Source organism: Homo sapiens, chromosome 16 (assembly GCF_000001405.40).
Source record: "Homo sapiens chromosome 16, GRCh38.p14 Primary Assembly".
Taxonomy (NCBI): domain Eukaryota; kingdom Metazoa; phylum Chordata; class Mammalia; order Primates; family Hominidae; genus Homo; species Homo sapiens.
Genome location: NC_000016.10, coordinates 28,379,581 through 28,398,752, shown reverse-complemented (window position 1 = coordinate 28,398,752; position 19,172 = coordinate 28,379,581). Strand labels below are relative to the sequence as shown.

General features: G+C 47.0%; 1 protein-coding gene and 1 non-coding gene across 7 annotated transcripts in view; both read left to right on the top strand.

Annotated features, from left to right (window-relative positions):
* The window catches only part of EIF3CL (eukaryotic translation initiation factor 3 subunit C like), a 46,838-nt gene extending 27,666 nt beyond the window's left edge, over positions 1-19,172 (top strand). For 3 of the 6 annotated variants that reach the window (XM_047434558.1, NM_001099661.2, NM_001317856.1), the window contains exons 9-21: positions 6,611-6,773; positions 6,898-7,001; positions 7,772-7,913; positions 8,108-8,233; positions 8,369-8,462; positions 10,055-10,245; positions 10,471-10,695; positions 15,272-15,635; positions 17,962-18,121; positions 18,220-18,285; positions 18,374-18,461; positions 18,615-18,777; positions 18,873-19,172. In XM_047434558.1, the coding sequence (XP_047290514.1) occupies positions 6,611-6,773; positions 6,898-7,001; positions 7,772-7,913; positions 8,108-8,233; positions 8,369-8,462; positions 10,055-10,245; positions 10,471-10,695; positions 15,272-15,635; positions 17,962-18,121; positions 18,220-18,285; positions 18,374-18,461; positions 18,615-18,777; positions 18,873-18,955 (1,969 nt within the window). In that variant the 3' untranslated portion in view covers positions 18,956-19,172. Of the gene's footprint in view, positions 1-4,461; positions 4,480-6,610; positions 6,774-6,897; positions 7,002-7,771; positions 7,914-8,107; positions 8,234-8,368; positions 8,463-10,054; positions 10,246-10,470; positions 10,696-15,271; positions 15,636-17,961; positions 18,122-18,219; positions 18,286-18,373; positions 18,489-18,539; positions 18,778-18,872 lie in introns of those variants that run through there. The other 3 variants (XM_017023621.2, NM_001317857.2, XM_017023620.3) reach the window with 3 other exon arrangements.
* On the top strand, positions 7,702-7,771 carry MIR6862-1 (microRNA 6862-1). Its single transcript, NR_106922.1, has one exon. It is a non-coding gene; the product is annotated as a microRNA 6862-1 (primary transcript).

Below are 19,172 nucleotides of genomic sequence, written 5' to 3'. Positions count from 1 at the left end.
TTAGGGAGGTAGTGAGTTTCCAGCCCTCTAGAGGTCTAGAGAGGCTGAACAACTTACTTGGTGGGCATTTTGTTGAGAAGGCCTTTTTTGTCCAGTGCTTCAGGGAACACTGGTCAAGGTCTGGGCCACATTGTCTATCACACCCCTTCTTGGAGGGTTTACAACCACCTCTGGAAAGTTCCATGAGAATAAATATACCTAACTTTGTTTTATTAACCATCTCAAAAACTTGCTTGATCATGAAACTCGTTTTTTTAACCTGTTGACATCTTACAGAACTATCAGCGTTACTATTGGTTCAGGTCTTTTATATCTACTGTACTTTGTGTTTTTGTCTTTGAATAATTGTGTATTGAAGTCTCCCATTGTGTGGACTCCGGTGTGTGATGTGCACTGCACATGTGTGTTACACAAAGGCTCCTGTCTGAGGGAGCAAATGGGGCCTAAAATTAAACTTAAGACATCAAGGCTGGGCACGGTGGCTTACGCCTGTAATCCCAGCACTTTGGGAGGCCGAGGCGGGCAGATCACGAAGTCAGGAGATCGAGACCATCCTGGCTAACACAGTGAAACCCAGTCTCTACTAAAAATACAAAAAATTAGCCAGACATGGTGGCAGGCGCCTGTAGTCCCAGCTACTCGGAAAGCTGAGGCAGGAGAATCGCTTGAACTGGGAGGCAGAGGTTGCAGTGAGCCGAGATCGTGCCACTGCACTCCAGTCTGGGCGACAGAGCAAGACTCTGTCTCAGAAAACGAAACAAAACAAAAAAAACTCTAAGACTATAAAGCTATACTTTTATAAATACAGACTCAAAAGTTCTTAACAACATAGTAGAAAACCAAACACAGCAACATACAATAAGGATTATATGGGAGCACCCCCTCCTTGCCTGTAGGGGGATGGAGGATGGGTGGGCTCATCTCCCAAAAAAGTTTTAAAAAAAAATTTAATAACAAGGAGGATTTATCCCAATAATAGAAGGATGTTTTAATATGAAAATCAACTAATATACTATATCAATAGAATAACAGACAAAAGCCGTAGAGTCATCTCAGCAGATGCAAAAAAAAGCATTTGAAAAAAATCCTAATATTCTTTCATGATAAAAGACTGAAGCTAGGAATAGAAGGGAGCTTCCCTCTACCTGATAAAGGATGTTTATGAAAAGGACGTTTCCTGTCCTTTTATTTTTAACTCTGCCATGCTGTATGATTAAGAGTGTTTCTTGGCTGGGCGTGGTGGCTCACGCCTGTAATCCCAGCACTTTGGGAGGCGGAGGCAGGCAAATCACAAGGTCAGGAGTTCGAGACCAGCCTGGCCAACATGGCGAAACCCCATCTCTACTAAAAATACAAAAAAATTAGCCCGGTGTGGTGGCCTGCGCCTGTAGTCCCAGCTACTCATGAGGCTAAGGCAGGAGAATTGCTTGAACCCGGGAGGCGGAGGTTGCAGTGTGCCGAGATCGCGCCATTGCACTTCAGCTTTGGGCAACAGAGCAAGACTCCGTCTCAGGAAAAAAAAAAAAAAAAAAAAAAAAGAGTGTCTCTTAAGCACAGCTAGGTTTTTGGTTTGTTTTTTTTTTAATCTCATAAAATCTCTGCTTTTTTTTTCTTTTATTGTGATACATAACATTTCCCATTTTAACCATTTTCAGGTATACAAATCAGTGGCATTTAGTACGTTCACATTGTGCAATGACCGCCAGAACTTGATCTCTGCTTCTCTGGCAATTTAGTTCATTTACGTTTATTATAGTTATTTACATATATATGATGGTTATTTATATATGTGTCTACATAATTAGTTTTTATCAAGATGGGGTCTTGCCCTGTTGCCCAGGATGGTCTCGAACTCCTGGGCTCGAGTAACCCTTCTGCCTGGGCCTCCTAAAGTGCTGGGATTACAGGCGTGAGCCACTGCGCCCAGCCTATTGTGGTTATCAATGCATTTATTCTTACCATTTTATGGTATCTTATACTTTCTGTTTATCCTCTTTATTTTAAATTTTGTAATAGCTTTATTGAGGTGTACATGACATACAATAACTGCACTTGTTTAAAGTTTTTTTTTTTTTTTTTTTTTTTGAGACAGAGTCTTGCACTGTCGCCCAGGCTGGAGTGCAGTGGTGCAATCTCGGCTCACTGCAAGCTCCACCTCCCGGGTTCACACCATTCTCCTGCCTCAGCCTCCTGAGTAGCTGGGACTACAGCCACCCGCCACCACGCCTGGCTAATTTTTTGTACTTTTAGTAGAGACAGGGTTTCACCATGTTAGCCAGGATGGTCTCGATCTCCTGACCTCGTGATCCACCCGCCTCGGCCTTCCACTAAGTGCTGGGATTACAGGCATGAGCCACCGCACCCAGCCTTAAAGTTAAATTTAATAAGTTGTGACATATGTTTACACCCATAGAACTCACCACAATCAAAACATAATATCCTAAAAATTTCACACCTAAACATTTCCACCTTCCCCTTTGTAATACTTCTCCCTGCCTCAGTTTCCTCACCCTATCCCTGGGCAACCACTAATTTGCTTTCTGTCACTAGGTAAGTTAGCATTTTCTAGAATTTTATGTAAATGGAATCAACGGTATATAATTTGGAGGGGGTAGTTTCTTTAATCATAATTATTTTGAAATTCATTCTGTCTTCTAAAGATTGGGCATCTCTAATTCCAAAGTCTGAAACTTCTGGAGCACCATAAGTGGACAATTCCACATCTGACCTCATGTGACAGGTTGCAGTCAAAACTTTGTTTCATGCACAAAATTATTTAAAATACTATGTAAAATTGCCATCAGGCTGTTTGTATAAGGTGTAGATGAAACACACAAATTTCATAGTTAGACTTGGAGCCCTTCCCAAGATACCCCATTATATATATGCAATTATTTGAAATTTGAAACACTTCTGGTTCTAAGCATTTCAGATAAGGGATATTCAGCCTGTATTTTATTTTTCTTTTATTTGTGTGTTTTTTGTTTTTGTTTTTGAGAAGGAGTCTCACTGTGTTGCCCCGGCTGGAATGCAGCGGTGCAATCCTGGCCCACTGCAACCTCTGCCTCCTGGGTTCAAGTGATTCTCAGGCCTCAGCCTCCTGGGTAGCTGGGACTACACGTGAGCACCACCACGCCCAGCTAATTTTTATATTTTTAGTAGAGATGAGGTTTCAGCATGTTGGCCAGGCTGGTCTTGAACTCCTGACCTTAGATGATTCGCTCGCCTCAGCCTCCCAGAGTACTGGGATTACAGGCATGAGCCACCACACCTAGCCTACATGTATTTTCTCATCCTCTTTTTTTTTTCCCCGTTTCTAGTTATATATATTTTCTTATTATTCATTTTGTTTTTTTCTGCTGGTTTGGGAGTTAGACGTGCTATGCTTTTAGAGGTTATTCTTGAATTTTTTTTTTTTTTTTTTTGAGACACTAGCCTGTTGCCGAGGCTAGAATGCAGTGAGTGGCGCAATCTCGGCTCACTGCAAGCTCCGCCTCCCGGGTTCACGCCATTCTCCTGCCTCAGCCTCCTGAGTAGCTGGGACTACAGGCACCTGCCACCATGCCCAGCTAAATTTTTTTGTATTTTTAGTAGAGACGGGGTTTCACTGTGTTAGCCAGGATGGTCTCGATCTCCTGACCTCGTGATCTGCCCACCTCAGCCTCCCAAAGTGCTGGAATTACAGGCGTGAACCACCGCACCCAGCCAAATTTTTTTTTGTTAACCTGTAAACTAACTTGTATACCTAATCAGAATAGTCTAAAATTAGTTGAATCAATGTTCTGAGGAAAACCCTTGAGAAAATAAAGTTAGAATTTCAAGTGTCAGAATCTTTTTGACATTGAGAGTTTGTGGCTTTGTAGTGTAGAAGAATAATTCACAGACACTATTTCACTTGTGTAACAAGGGAGACAGATTTTCAGATTAATTTCCAACCGAGCAAAAGCAGGATTTATATAGGAGAAAGAGGAACAAGGAGAGAGGGCAAAACCACAGAACAGTGGATTCTGTTTGCCCGTTTTTCTGTGTAAACTCTGATATTAACTCTCCTTGAGTATGCCACCCAGGGTTGGTGGATGCTCTAGAAAACACGATAGGCCCTCTGCCAGTAAGGGTTTTCAGCAACTCCAGATTCAGCCAGTCTAAATATACCCTTTCCATCATCAGCATTTCTCAGCCTTCATCTTTTGGTCAAAACAAGCTTGTAAAGGAGTGGGTTTATTCTCATGAGCTTCAGCCTCTTTGATGTGGGATAAGGCCATCTGTTGTCTTATGGTGATCTGAAGGTATTAGGGGGAAGTTCATCTATACCTGATGTCATGATTGACCTGTGAACTCTTTTTCTTTTTTTCTTTTTTTAGATGGAGTCTTGCTCTGTTGCCCAGGCTGGAGTGCAGTGGTGCAATCTCATCTCACTGCAACCTCCGCCTCCCTGGTTCAAGCAGTTCTCCTCAGCCTCCCAAGTAGCTGGGATTACAGGCACGTGCCACCACGCCTGGCTAATTTTTTGTATTTTTAGTAGAGACGGGGTTTCGCCGTGTTAGCCAGGATGGTCTCGATCTCCTTATCTCTTGATTGCCTGCCTCGGCTTCCCAAAGTGCTGGGATTACAGGCGTGAGCCACTGCGCCCAGCGACCTGTGAACTCTTACAGAGCTGCTGTCTACTTCTAAGAGTTACCTGATTCTGGAGGCGTTTTTTTGTTTTTGTTTTTGTTTTTTAAGTGAACCCCAGGATCTCTAGTGAGACTGAATGTCCGAGTTAGGATCCTAAGCAAGGGTATACATCTAGGGCTTTCCATCAGTAGTTGTGGTTGGGAAGGCATGGGAAAATGGTGTGGTCCTCTGCAGTGTAGTTAGGCCTGACTTCCGTTGGTGTCTCTCAATAATGAGTTTTTAGTCTCTTAACTATGTATTAAGTAGAGGTAATACTCGTTTAGAAATGTTGCTTTTATCTGTTGATTATATAGCTGAGGATATAAACATTTGTTATCTGATAATTTCTAACAAGATATGAATATACCAGAGTATAATCTGTCATAGGAGAGGTCAAGCCAAGTCTTAGGTCTTTCAGTTAGAATTTCATACAATAGTACATTTCCCTTTTGAGGTGTGTATCATACTATCTTTAGTGCTAGAAGTAATACTTTAGCCAAGGAAGTTTAAGTTCTTTTGAAGCATTCATTTTAAAAAATAGCTTTAGTTCTTCTGATCTCAGAGCTATACAGATGGTTTGGACCAAGAGGTTTTAGTTTAATGAACATGCTTTGCATATTTGCAAAGGATTTTACCTATAAAGTGAGTCATCATTAGAGTCTTGCAGTGGTACAGGGGAAAGATCCATAAGCTTTTGTTGTTGTTGTTGTTGTTGTTGTTGTTGTTTTTAATAGAGACGGGCTTTTTACCTTGTCACCCAGACTGGTCTCAAACTCCTGGGCTCAAGCAATACGCCCACCTCGGCCTCCCAAAGTGCTGGGATTACAGGCTTGAGCCACCGTGCTTGGCCAGTCCATACACTTTTGTTGAGAGTTATGGCATTGGTCTTCTGGCAAGGGAAGACTTAATTTAACTGGTAAACTTATAGACTATTCCAAAAACATATTCAAACCTTTTAAGCAGTGAAAATGAAATTTATTTATAAATGTTCAAATGGTAGATTATGGTTATTACATATGAGTTTTCAAAAATGTTGAGTCTTTCTGGAAAGATTTATTCTTCAGTATCTGTGCAAAGTTTGAAGTAATTTGTCTTTGCCATTTGGTTTGTATTTTGTTACATAAATACATACTCAAGTCTGGAGATGGTTTCAGGCAACATCCAGTAGCCTAAGACCATTTTAAGGTAGCTGGTGATCTTTTTCTGTTTTGTGGGGACCTTTTTTGTAATGAACATTTTTTTAAAATTCAGAATTTAGATTAATCGGTTGTCAAGAGAGGAGAGAAAGCGATAAAACAGTTTAGGAATAGTAAAAAAGAAAAAAATGTTTTTATATATTTGGGGGAACTGATTCATTGATTAGTTGGTCAGTCTGGAGAAAGCAGCTGGTATCAAAGAAAATAAGTTGTTTGTGGATTCTTTGGAAAACTGTAGATGTTAGCTTTGGAGCAAAATGACAGGTTGGTTTTTTTTTGTTTTGTTTTGTTTTGTTTTTTTGGAGACTGAGTCTTGCTCTGTCACCCCGGCTTAAGTGCAGTGGCATGATTGTGGCTCACTGCAGCCTTCTCTGCCTCCCAAGTTCAAGTGATTCTCGTGCCTCAGCCTCCTAAGTAGCTGGGACTACAGGCGTGCACCACCATGCCTGGCTAATTTTTGTACTTTTAGTAGAGATGGGGTTCCACCATGTTGCCCAGGCTGGTCTTGGATTCCTGACATCAAGTGATCTACCATGCTTAGCTGACAGGTTGTTTCTATTAATATGTCTACAGTGGCCTGGTTAGTACTCTGTCTTGTTAGAGATGGCTATGGTTATGGTTCACTGTGCCCTCTAGGTCATTGTTGTAGAGCATAACTTGGACCCAGGAGCTGCTGGAGGAAAAGAGGAAGTTGATGGGAGGAAGAAGCCTTAGAGGTGGGGAGGGGCTGATCTGTCATCTTCTCCCATGTCTGTCGGCAGGGCACCCACCACAGATGAGGACAAGAAGGCAGCCGAGAAGAAACGGGAGGACAAAGCTAAGAAGAAGCACGACAGGAAATCCAAGCGCCTGGATGAGGAGGAGGAGGAGGACAATGAAGGCGGGGAGTGGGAAAGGGTCCGGGGCGGAGTGCCGTTGGTTAAGGTGAGGGTTTCAGAGGTAAAATGAATTGGGGAACAGTTTGGGAGGACATAAAGGTCCCCTTGTGGGGAAAAGGCAAGGACAGTTTCCCGCTGGCATGTACATGACGGGATATGTACTGATACAGGAGAAGCCAAAAATGTTTGCCAAGGGAACTGAGATCACCCATGCTGTTGTTATCAAGAAACTGAATGAGATCCTACAGGCACGAGGCAAGAAGGGAACTGATCGGTAAGATTCGTGGGCCTGGGCAGTGGGATTGCAGGGTGGCAGAGGGTGGAGGTTGGGGGAAGGGATTGTTGGGAGGGTCTGTGTGTGGCTGTAGTAGAGGGAATTGTATGCTTGGGGCATCCCCGTCCATTATCTGCTGTTTACTCTTCTTGTGACTTAAAACCAATCACTTAACGTTTTGGATCTGTTTTCCCATCTATACAATGAGATAATGTTCTCCTCTTTTTTTTTTTTTTTTTTTTTTTGTTTGAGATGGAGTCTCGTTGTTGCCCAGGCTGGAGTGCACTGGCGCGATCTCGGCTCACTGCAACCTTTTTGCCTTCTGGGTTCAACCGATTCTCCTGCCTCAGCCTCCTGAGTAGCTGGGATTACAGGAACCCGCCACCATCCCTGGCTGATTTTGTACTTTTAGTAGAGATGGGGTTTCACCATGTCTCGAACTCCTGACTTCAAGTGATCCGCCTGCCTCAGCCTCCCAAAGTGCTGGGATTACAGGCATGAGCTACCACACCTGGCTTTTTTTTTTTTTAAGATTAAAAAAGTAAAAGAGTGTTTACCTTCTTTAGTTATTAGGTAACAGAGGATGGTGGTAGGTGTGAAGCATTTCACAGCATTCCAGGATGGTTGGGATTATTGTTGCTTCTGTTTGGAATTTATAAAGGAGAAGCAGGGATATGGGTGATGAGGAGGGCGCGTTATCCGAAGCGGGCATGCTGGGAGAGACTTTGTGATTTGTCTCCAAAGCCTCACCCAGCTCTCTGGCCCTCTAGTGCTGCCCAGATTGAGCTGCTGCAACTGCTGGTTCAGATTGCAGCGGAAAACAACCTGGGAGAGGGCGTCATTGTCAAGATCAAGTTCAATATCATCGCCTCTCTCTATGACTACAACCCCAACCTGGCAACCTACATGAAGGTGAGAGCAGTGAAGAGGCTCATCTCAGGGCATCGCTGGTGGGTTGGGGGAAGAAGGTACCTAGCATCTTAAGACTCAGGGGCTATGGAGGCAGTCTTGGTGGTGGAAGGCCCCATGATTCCTGCTGAAGGGGGAGGCATCCGCTTACTCTACCTTCACACCTCTGACTCTGATGTGGCCTGAAATCTTGGCAGCCAGAGATGTGGGGGAAGTGCCTGGACTGCATCAATGAGCTGATGGATATCCTGTTTGCAAATCCCAACATTTTTGTTGGAGAGAATATTCTGGAAGAGAGTGAGAACCTGCACAACGCTGACCAGGTAAAGGGAGGAGTTGGCAGGATAACTGGAGGTGTGTATTTTATGCTTTGGGAAGGCTCAGTGGGACCCGAGGGTTGAGGTTTGAGACTGAGATCTGGGCTAATTTGTTGACTCCTCCTTCGCCTTCCTTTTCAGCCACTGCGTGTCCGTGGCTGCATCCTAACTCTGGTGGAACGAATGGATGAAGAATTTACCAAAATAATGCAAAATACTGACCCTCACTCCCAAGGTGAGCCTGAGCAAGCGTGGGCTTTGCTGAGAGGAAAATTGTGGGGAATATTACTAGGTTTAGAGCTTTGTGAGGATTATACTAAGTCAGAGTGCTTGAAAAGCCAGCCTTTCAACTTACCTAGCGTTCACACGGAAGGGCCTGATGAGATGCTGGCTCCCAGTCCCATCGTTTCTGATTCCATAGGTCTGAGTGGGGCTTGAGAACCTGCACCTCTAGCCTGCTCCCAGGTTGCTGGTCTCAGGGCTATACTTTGAGAACCTTTGGGGTAAGGCATCTATTCACTTCTCTTGTTTAGCTTGGATGAGAGGCATTGGGGTGTGAAAGTGCAGCATAGTTTACTCAGTAAAAGTGTGAATGTGCCCATCAAGTCAAGGGTGTAGTGATTAACAAGGCAGCCAAAAGCTTACCTTTTGTGCTGGATGGAGAAAGGCAGATTGAAAAATAATAGTAGTAAGATATGGCCGGGCGTGGTGGCTCACGTCTGTAATTCCAGCTCTTTGGGAGGCCGAAGCAGGCGGATCCCGAGGTCAGGAGATTGAGACCATCCTGGCTAACACGGTGAAACCCCATCTCTACTAAAAATACACACACACACACAAAAAAAATTAGGCGTGGTGCTGGGCGCCTATAGTCCCAGCTACTTGGGAGGCTGAGGCAGGAGAATGGCATGAACCCAGGAGGCGGAACTTGCAGTGAGCCGAGATCACACCCCTGCACTCCAGCCTGGGCGACAGAGCAAGACTCCATCTCAAAAAAAAAAAAAAATAGTATGATGTTAAGATAATTCTGGGCCAGGTGCAGTGGCTCACGCCTGTAATCCTAGCACTTTGGGAGGCCGAGGTGTGTGAATCACCTGAGGTCAGGAGTTTGAGACCAGCCTGGCCAACGTGGCAAAACCCTGGCTCTACTCAAATACAAAAATTATCCAGGCATGGTGGCAGGTGCCTGTAAATCCCAGCTATGTGGGAGGCTGAGGCAGGAGAATCCCTTGAGCCCAGCGGGCCAGAGGTTGCAATGAGCTGAGATCACACCACTGCACTCCAGCCTGGGCGAAAGAGTGAAACTCCATCTCAAAAAATAATAATAATAATTCTAGATGATATAAAGTTCAGAGTTAAACTAGGGCCCTGTGGTAAGAAGTGGCTGGAGGGGTGGCTGCTGTAGCTAACAGCTGGAGAAAGCACCCTTAAGTAGGGACCACCTGAGGTGAGATCCAATGAGGAGGAGTTAGGGGAAGAATCAGCTGAAGACAGCGCCTGACAGGAGGAGCAGAGAGCGAGCTTGATGTTCCAGGAGTAAAAAGGCCAGTGGGACTCCAGCACAGGAAGCCAGAGGGAGAATCGTGGGAGACCAGGCAAGGGCCAGGCCTGGCAGACCCTTATTGGCAGAGGTTGGCAGTTGGGATTTTTTTCCTAAGCTGTGGGACTGGAAGGTTCTGGGTCCTGGGAGTGGGAGATGGCCTTTCTGGGGCACACTGACTAGACTTTTCTGACGGGTGCAGAAGAGGGACGGGTTGATTGGAATGAGTGGGGACAGATGGGAAAGCCTGGCTGCCCAGCTGAGACAAGGGTGGGTGCTCTCCCTGCCAGAGTACGTGGAGCACTTGAAGGATGAGGCCCAGGTGTGTGCCATCATCGAGCGTGTGCAGCGCTACCTGGAGGAGAAGGGCACTACCGAGGAGGTCTGCCGCATCTACCTGCTGCGCATCCTGCACACCTACTACAAGTTTGATTACAAGGCCCATCAGCGACAGCTGACCCCGCCTGAGGGCTCCTCAAAGGTGAGCACGTGGCAGTCATGGCAGAGGGGAATGGGTGTGTCCACCTGTCCTCCACTTCTGTCAGGACTTGACAGCAAATCTGTTACTCTCTAGACTTCCGCAGGTGGAGCAGGGAGGGAAACTGAGGTATTAGAATGAGACTGGATAGAGTCTCATCTTTAGTTGCTAGAGCCTGTGCCTTTTAAAGCTGGATCTCCTTTGCAAATAACCTCCCTTCCTCCCCAGTCTGAGCAAGACCAGGCAGAAAATGAGGGCGAGGACTCGGCTGTGTTGATGGAGAGACTGTGCAAGTACATCTACGCCAAGGACCGCACAGACCGGATCCGCACATGTGCCATCCTCTGCCACATCTACCACCATGCTCTGCACTCGCGCTGGTACCAGGCCCGCGACCTCATGCTCATGAGCCACTTGCAGGACAACATTCAGCATGCAGACCCGCCAGTGCAGGTAGGATGGGGAGGCCTTGGAGGTGAAGGAGTGCCAGGCCCCTGGCCTCTTGGCAAACTGGCTTAACCAGAACAGCCACCTGTCTGGCCGGTGCAAATTTAAGTAGACACTTGGTCTTTCCCAGTTGCCAGCATCCTGCAGTCCTCCTGCATGTAAACACATAATTTCGTGTCAAAAAAAAAAATTATCCAGGCTTGGTAGTGCTTGAGCCCAAGAGGCAGAGGTTCCAGTGAGCCGAGGTTGTGCCACTGCACTCCAGCCTGGGTAATGGAGCAAGACTGTTCAAAAAAAAAAAAAAGCTGTGTCTGGAAGTGTAGATCATGTAAAAGTATATTTGAGGCAACTAGGAAATGTTTATGTGTAGAGCACCTGGTGAACCTGTCTGGGGGTACTGCTGGTTTTTAAACAGCCCTCCTGTTTGTGTTTCTATTCTATGGTATGAACATATCACTGTGTCTGTTTTCCTCTTGGCGGACACCCAGTTTATTTCCAGTTTTTGGCTCTAATGTATGAAGCTGCTGTGAACATTCTTGTAAGAAACTCAAAAGTGGTTATACCATTTTACACTCCTGCTAGTGTTTGGGAGTTCCTTGTCAACTTTTGGTGGTGTTGGTCTTTTTTTGAGAGGGAGTCTCGCTCTGTCGCCAAGGCTGGAGTGCAGTGGTGCAATCTTGGCTTACTGCAACTGCCACCTCCCAGGATCAAGCGATTCTACCTCAGCCTCCCGAGTAGCTGGGATTACAGGTGCCCGCCACCACTTCCGACTAATTTTTGTAATTTAGTAGAGATAGGGTTTCACCATGTTGGCCAGGCTGGTCTCAAACTCCTGACCTCAAGTGATCTGCCTGCCTCAGCCTCCCAAAGTGCTGAGATTACAGGAGTGAGCCATCATGCCGGCGGTGGTATTGGTCTTTTAAACTTTTTTTTGTTTTTGTTTTTTGAGGCAGGGTCTTGCACTGTCACCTAGACTGAGTGTAGTGGCATGATCATGGCCCGCAGTAGCCTCAAATTCCCAGGTTCAAGTGATCCTCCCACCTCAGCCTCCATAGTAGCTGGGACTACAGGCATGTGCCACCATAGCTGGGACTACAGGCATGTGCCACCATGCCTGGCTAATTTTTTATTTTTTGTAGAGACAGGGTCTCACTATGTTGCCCAGGCTGGTCTCAAAGATCTTTTAGGGGTGTGTGTGTGTCTCTTTTAGGGGGTGTGTGTGTATCTTTTAGGGGTTGTGTGTGTATCTTTTAGGGGGTGTGTGTGTGTGTATCTTTTAGGGGTGTGTGTGTGTGTGTGTGTGTGTGTTTTGAGACAGAGTCTCGCTCTGTTGCCCAGGCTGGAGTGCAGTGGTGCAATCTTGGCTCACTACAACCTCCATCTCCCAGGTTCAAGCCATTCTCCTCCCTCACCATCCCATGTAGCTGGGATTATAGGCACGTGCCACCACACCAGGCTAATTTTTGTATATTTAATAGAGACAAGATTTCACTATGTTGGCCAGGCTGGTCTTGAACCTCAGGTGACCCACCCACCTCAGCCTCCCAAAGTGCTGGGATTACAGGCATGAGCCACCGCAACCGGCCACTCAAAGGTCTTTTAAATTTTAGTTGGTTGTCTAATGGTATCTCATTGTGGTGTTAGTTTGCATTTCCCTGGTGACTATTGATATTGGCTACTTTTTTACTTTTTTATGTTTATTGGCCATTTATCTTTCATGAAATAATAAATATCTAGTCAGTTCTTGCCCATTTAAAACAATTGGATTGTTCACTTTATTGAGTTGTAGGAGTGCCTTATCTATCCTGGATAGCTAGTCCTGTGTCAGAATTTTTTTTTTTTTTTTTTTTTGGAGACGGAGTCTCGCTCTGTCGGCAGGCTGGAGTGCAGTGGCGCGATCTTGACGACTCACTACAACCTCTGCTTCCCAGGTTCAGGCAATTCTCCTGCCTCAGCCTCCCGAGTAGCTGGGACTACAGGCGCCCACCACCATGCCCAGCTAATTTTTTTTATTTTTTAGTATCTGTGTTGGCCAGGATGGTCTCGATCTCTTGACCTCATGATCCGCCCGCCTCACCCTCCCAAAGTGCAGGGATTACAGGCATGAGCCACTGCGCCCGGCCCAGTTTTTTCTTTTATAGTAATTATTTTCTGGATCCTGTCTAAAAAACCTTTGCCTAACTGAAATTCATGAAGACTTTTTAAATTTCTCTCTTTTTTTTTTTTGTAAGTTGCTATGGGTGTTAGCTTTTACATTTAGTCTTATAGTTGGTCTTGGTTTGATTTTTGCATCTGCTGAGGTTGGGATCAGGGTTTCTTTTTCCTCCATATGGATACCTAGTTGTTCTAGCATCATTTGTAGAAAAGACTTCCTTTCCCCTATTGTATTGCTTTGGTGTCTTTGTGGAAAACAATATGAAAAACCACATTACCTATAAGAGTAGGTGTTTTTCAGGTCATTCCCTCTGTCCCATTCATTTACCTTTTTGTCTGTCCTTATGCAAGTCCCATACTATCTTCATTGCTGTGCAACATAACAAAACCCTGTCTCTACAAAAAATACAGAAACTAGTCAGGCATAGTGGTGCACGCCTGTAGTCCCACCTACTCAGGAGGCTGAGGTAGGATTGCTTGAGCTCAGGAGGTCGAGGCTGCAGGAGCCACGATCACGCCACTGCACTCTAGCCTGGGCAACAGAGCAAGACTGTCTCAAAAAGAAAAGAAATACCCGGTTACTTCTCCTTCATTCTATTCATATAATGAATAACTGTGAGTTCATTATTGTGTGTTTTTTGTTTTTTGAAAAAGGGTGTCACTCTGTCACCCAAGCTGGAGTGCAGTGGCGCGATCTCGGCTCACTGCAATCTCTGCCTCCCAGGCTCAAGCAATTCTCCTGCCTCAGCCTCTCGAGTAGCTGGGATTACAGGTGCACATCACCACTACCCGGCTAACTTTTGTATTTTTAGTAGAGACGGGGTTTCACCATATTGGGCAGGCTGCTCTTGAACTCCTGACCCCACGATCCACCCACCTCAGCCTCCCAAAGTGCTGGGATTACAGGCATGAGCCACCACGCCCAGCCGAGTTCATTACATTTTTATACCAACCTTTTATTCCTGAAGTATATCCAGTTTGGTCATGTATATTGTCTCTTTTATATTATATATTGCTGGATTCTGTCGCTAACATTTTTAAGGCTTTTTGCATGTAAGCTTATGACTGGTATTGATCTCCACATTTTTGTTGTTATGGCTACACTTAGCCTTTTCCCCCAAGATTTGTACCACTTACCGTCTCCCCTGTCTTAATTAGTGCCAAGTCCCTCTTCCCAGTTGCTTAGACCAGAAACCTTGGAGTCATTCTTGATTTGAACTTTTCCCTCATATACTGTATCTGATTCCCCAGCCATTCCTGTTTACAGTCCATTATGAGAACACTTCTGTCACTTCTGCTTGTACCCTCTGCTCTAAGCCACCATCATCTGCCTTTGTGTCCCTTCAGTCCCTTTGTTCTGTTCATAATACAGATTAACCCTGTTCAGTTATGTCAGATCATATTACCTGTTTGCTCAAAACCTTCCCATGGTTTCTTGTCTTAAAACTCATAACAAGGCCAGGCACGGTGGCTCACACTTGTAATCCCAGCACTTCGGGAGGCCGAGGCGGGTGGATCACGAGGTCAAGAGATCGAGACCATCCTGGCTAACACGGCGAAACCCTGTCTCTACTAAAAATACAAAAAATTAGCCGGGCGTGGTGGCGGGCGCCTGTAGTCCCAGCTACTCGGAGAGGCTGAGGCAGGAGAATGGCGTGATCCCGGGAGGCGGAGCTTACAATGAGCCAATATCACACCGCTGCACTCCAGCCTGGGTGACAGAGTGAGACTCCGTCTCCAAAAAAAAAAAAAAAAAAAAACTCATAAATGGCTGGTGCTCGCCCATCCCCCAGCTTGTGGTGGCATCTTTTCCCAGCCCTAGCTGTGTTGCGCCCCTTGTTTCTTGAATATGCCTGGCCCGGTTCTTCCACAGGATCACTGCGTTTATTTTTCCTTTTTATAGGATATTCTTTCCCCAGATGCCTGCATGACTTGCTCTCTCTTTAGGTCTTTATTCAAACATTCTTTCCCAATGAGGCCTTCTGTAGTTATATGAACATTTGAGCCTCCACCACTGCGCAGACTGCCTTCCTGGCTCCGTCCTCTGCTTTATTTTTCTTCTCAGCATGAGTCACCATCCTTGTAGTGCAGCTCTCTTGCCCACCACACCCCACCCCTAGACATAAGCTCCATGCAGACTGGGGACTTGTCTGTTTTGCTCTCCCTCCCCAGCCTAGTGCTCAGCACATAGTAGGCACTTGAAGTAGATTTGTTTAGTTTTGTTTTTGTTTTTTATCTTTAGCGATGGGGTATCTCCATGTTGCTCAGGCCCATCTTGAACCCCTGGGCTCAAGTGATCCTCCCACCTTAGCCTCCCAAAGTGCTGGGATTACAGGCGTGAGCCACTGCACCCGGCTTAGTTATGGAATAAATGAAGACTTGTCTTGCAGCTGTCATCTCTGAGTGCATTATGACCCTTTGCCCCCAGATCCTTTACAACCGCACCATGGTGCAGCTGGGCATCTGTGCCTTCCGCCAAGGCCTGACCAAGGACGCACACAACGCCCTGCTGGACATCCAGTCGAGTGGCCGAGCCAAGGAGCTTCTGGGCCAGGGCCTGCTGCTGCGCAGCCTGCAGGAGCGCAACCAGGAGCAGGAGAAGGTGGAGCGGCGCCGTCAGGTCCCCTTCCACCTGCACATCAACCTGGAGCTGCTGGAGTGTGTCTACCTGGTGTCTGCCATGCTCCTGGAGATCCCCTACATGGCCGCCCATGAGAGCGATGCCCGCCGACGCATGATCAGCAAGCAGTTCCACCACCAGCTGCGCGTGGGCGAGCGACAGCCCCTGCTGGGTGAGTGTGGAGCTCCAGGGTTCAGCAGGCTGCCTTGCTCCCTGATTACACATAAGGATTAAGAGAAGTGAAGGGAGTAACTCTCCCACCACTCGACTCCATCTGATTTAATGACACCTCCTCTGCCTGGCACTGTGCTAAGTGTTTTACAAATAATTATTTAATCTGCATTAGTAATAACCCTATGCCGGTAGGTACTAGTAATACCCTTTTTCCCAGTGGAGAAACTGAGGCACAGAGTAGTTAAGTGACTTGCCCGAGTTTAATGCAGCTCATGTGTACCTCTGATCTTTCTTTCCCTTTTCTTCCCTTCATGTACATTATATTCCAGCCAAACCAACTATCATAGAGCCTTATCGTTCAAGAGGCTAACGTTGATTCCTTTGGCCCCTTTTGAAAGACAGATCCTGCAGGGTTGCAGTGAGTGGTGACTCACTGGAAAGGAATTGAGCTGCGCCCTTCCTGTGACATTGGCCCACAGGAGGGCTTGACGAGTGAGCTGAGCCCAGTGTCCACAGCCACATCCCCCTACAGATTTGTCCTCTCCTGGTCATGTATATGTTTGGGCTAAAGGGCAGGTTCCCTTAGGCACATTTTGTTTGGCTTATGTAGTGAGATTTACTTTGTGGGGAAATTTCCCATGAAAATCGGAATTTTCATGTCTTAGAATATTGGCAGTCTGTCGCTCCTGGCCCTGCCTTCCTGCAGAGCTAGCCTTGGCTGGAGCTGAAGTAGCAGCGATGGGAAAGGGCTGTCTGCTTCTCCACAGTCCCTGCCTCTCAATTTCTCCCTACAGTGGTTCCAAAAGCCAGTTTCCATCAGCCCTGCACTGTTGTTCGGCCTATAGAGAAATATTCTTTGAGCCCCTAAACTTGCCTTTTTCTTTCTTTCTTTCTTTTTTTTTTTTTTTGAGACGGAGCCTCACTGTTGCCCAGACTGGAGTGCAGTGGCGCAGTCTCAGCTCACTGCAACCTCCACCTCCTGGGTTCAAGTGATTCTGCTGCCTCAGCCTCTCGAGTAGCTGAGACTACAGGCCCCCGCCACCATGTCCAGCTAATTTTTTGTATTTTTAGTAGAGATGGGGTTTCTTCATGTTGGCCAGGCTGGTCTCGAATTCCTGACCTCAGGTGGCCCGCCCACCTCGGCTTCCCAAAGTGCTGGGATTACAGGTGTGAGCCACTGCGCCCAGACCAACCTTGCCTTTTGCAAGTGTTAATATGGTTAAAATGGAGGTTCATCCAGGAGGGCTGTGTGCCTCTCCTTACACTCTTAACACTTAGCCCTGCTCCTATGGTTCCATTTGGACCTGATCCCCGTTCGCATTGAGCTTGCCGTTCTTGCTGTGGAGTCTGCGTGTTTGTGTTTCACTGTCTGCCACCCATTTCTAGCCGTAGAACTTTTGCACTTTGTCTACCCTGAATTCCAGTTACTATGGCGTACCATGTCTTACCTTCCTGGCTTGTCTTAGGATTGTATTTGGGGGCCTGAGTTCATAATTAATATATAAACTTGTGATTTTAGAGATAATTTTGACCGGGGCTAAGTTTTTTAAGGAAAAGAAGTGAGCTGCTTGGAAGAATAATAAGCTGGCAACAGTGTAATTGATGCATGGGCATGGCACCATTCATGAAGGTGATGTGAGTGAGGAAGGGTTGGTAAATTCCATTCCAGTTGAGCTGGAAGAGGTGGTTTGGTTTTGTTTTGTTTTGTTTTTTGAGACAGAGTCTCGCTCTGTAGCCCAGGCTGGAGTGCAGTGGCAAGATCTCAGCTCACTGCAAATTCTGCCTCCCGGGTTCAAGCAATTTTCCTGCCTCAGCCTCCCGAGTAGTTGGGATTACAGGCGTGTGCCACTATGCCTGGCTAATTTTTGTATTTTTAGTAGAGACGAGGTTTTGCCATGCTGGCCAGGCTGGTCTCCAACTCCTGACCTCAGATGATCCGTCTGCCTTGGCCTCCCAAAGTGCTGGGATTATTACAGGTGTGAGCCACCACGCCTGGCTGGAAGAGGTGTTTTTAGGTCAAGGAAGCTTACGAGAATCTGATGAAAGCCATGGGCCTTTTTCCTAGGAAGAATGTACATGAGGACATGTGCACAATTTGTCAACATTTTTGAGGGTTTCGGCAGTCCCCTGAAGTGCATCTATGGACTGATTGAGTTCAAACATTTGTGCAGATGGAGTGGCTTGGGCGACTACGTGGCTGTTTGGTGGAGAGGCGGGGAGAGTCTCTAGTATGGTTTGCTCCTCCAGCCTCTGTTCCTCCTTAAAGAGTGCTAATGGAACTTGTCCCAAGTTCCCTAGGCCCTGCCTCATTCCCACCCTTTCAGGTCCCCCTGAGTCCATGCGGGAACATGTGGTCGCTGCCTCCAAGGCCATGAAGATGGGTGACTGGAAGACCTGTCACAGTTTTATCATCAATGAGAAGATGAATGGGAAAGTGTGGGACCTTTTCCCCGAGGCTGACAAAGTCCGCACCATGCTGGTTAGGTGAGCAGACAGAGAGGCCGTGATGGGTCGGGGAAGAAGAGACTGGTTGGTCCCCTTCCCTGAGGCCCTGTTGTGTCTTCTGTCCCCTCTTCCCACAGGAAGATCCAGGAAGAGTCACTGAGGACCTACCTCTTCACCTACAGCAGTGTCTATGACTCCATCAGGTAGGCGGGGCCCTGGGGACACAGAAGGGCCCCAGCCTTGTGGGCAAGTGTCCTGACTGCCCCTGCCCTCTGCCTTCTTTCTTCCCAGCATGGAGACGCTGTCAGACATGTTTGAGCTGGATCTGCCCACTGTGCACTCCATCATCAGCAAAATGATCATTAATGAGGAGCTGATGGTAGGGGCCGGGGTGGGAAGCGGGCAGGTGGAGCCATGGAGGGATTGGAGCGTAGGGGCCGGGGTGGGAAGCGGGCAGGTGGAGCCATGGAGGGATTGGAGCAGAGGGGCCTGATCTGTGTCGTGTCCCCTCCTCTGCCTTGGCGCCTGTCAGGCCTCCCTGGACCAGCCAACACAGACAGTGGTGATGCACCGCACTGAGCCCACTGCCCAGCAGAACCTGGCTCTGCAGCTGGCCGAGAAGCTGGGCAGCCTGGTGGAGAACAACGAACGGGTGTTTGACCACAAGCAGGGCACCTACGGGGGCTACTTCCGAGGTGAGTACTTCGGCTCCTCTCCTTGCCCACTCCTGGTGCCCTCACCGCCTCTCACCTGGCATTCCCTGCCCTTCCTTCCCATCTCTCTCCTACAGACCAGAAGGACGGCTACCGCAAAAACGAGGGCTACATGCGCCGCGGTGGCTACCGCCAGCAGCAGTCTCAGACGGCCTACTGAGCTCTCCACTCTGTTTCCCGCCTGGGCCATCCAACCTTGAAGTCCTAAACCACACCTCAGTCACTAAAGGTCTGTTTAAAGTTGTTCTGGTTGATTGCTTGTTGCCACAAAGGTGTGTTGAGCCCATTCATTTGCTGATTATATTTCTGAGCTGCTACCACATGACAGACACAAGGCTCAGATGAAGAGGTGAATTGAACACGTTCCTGACCTCAAA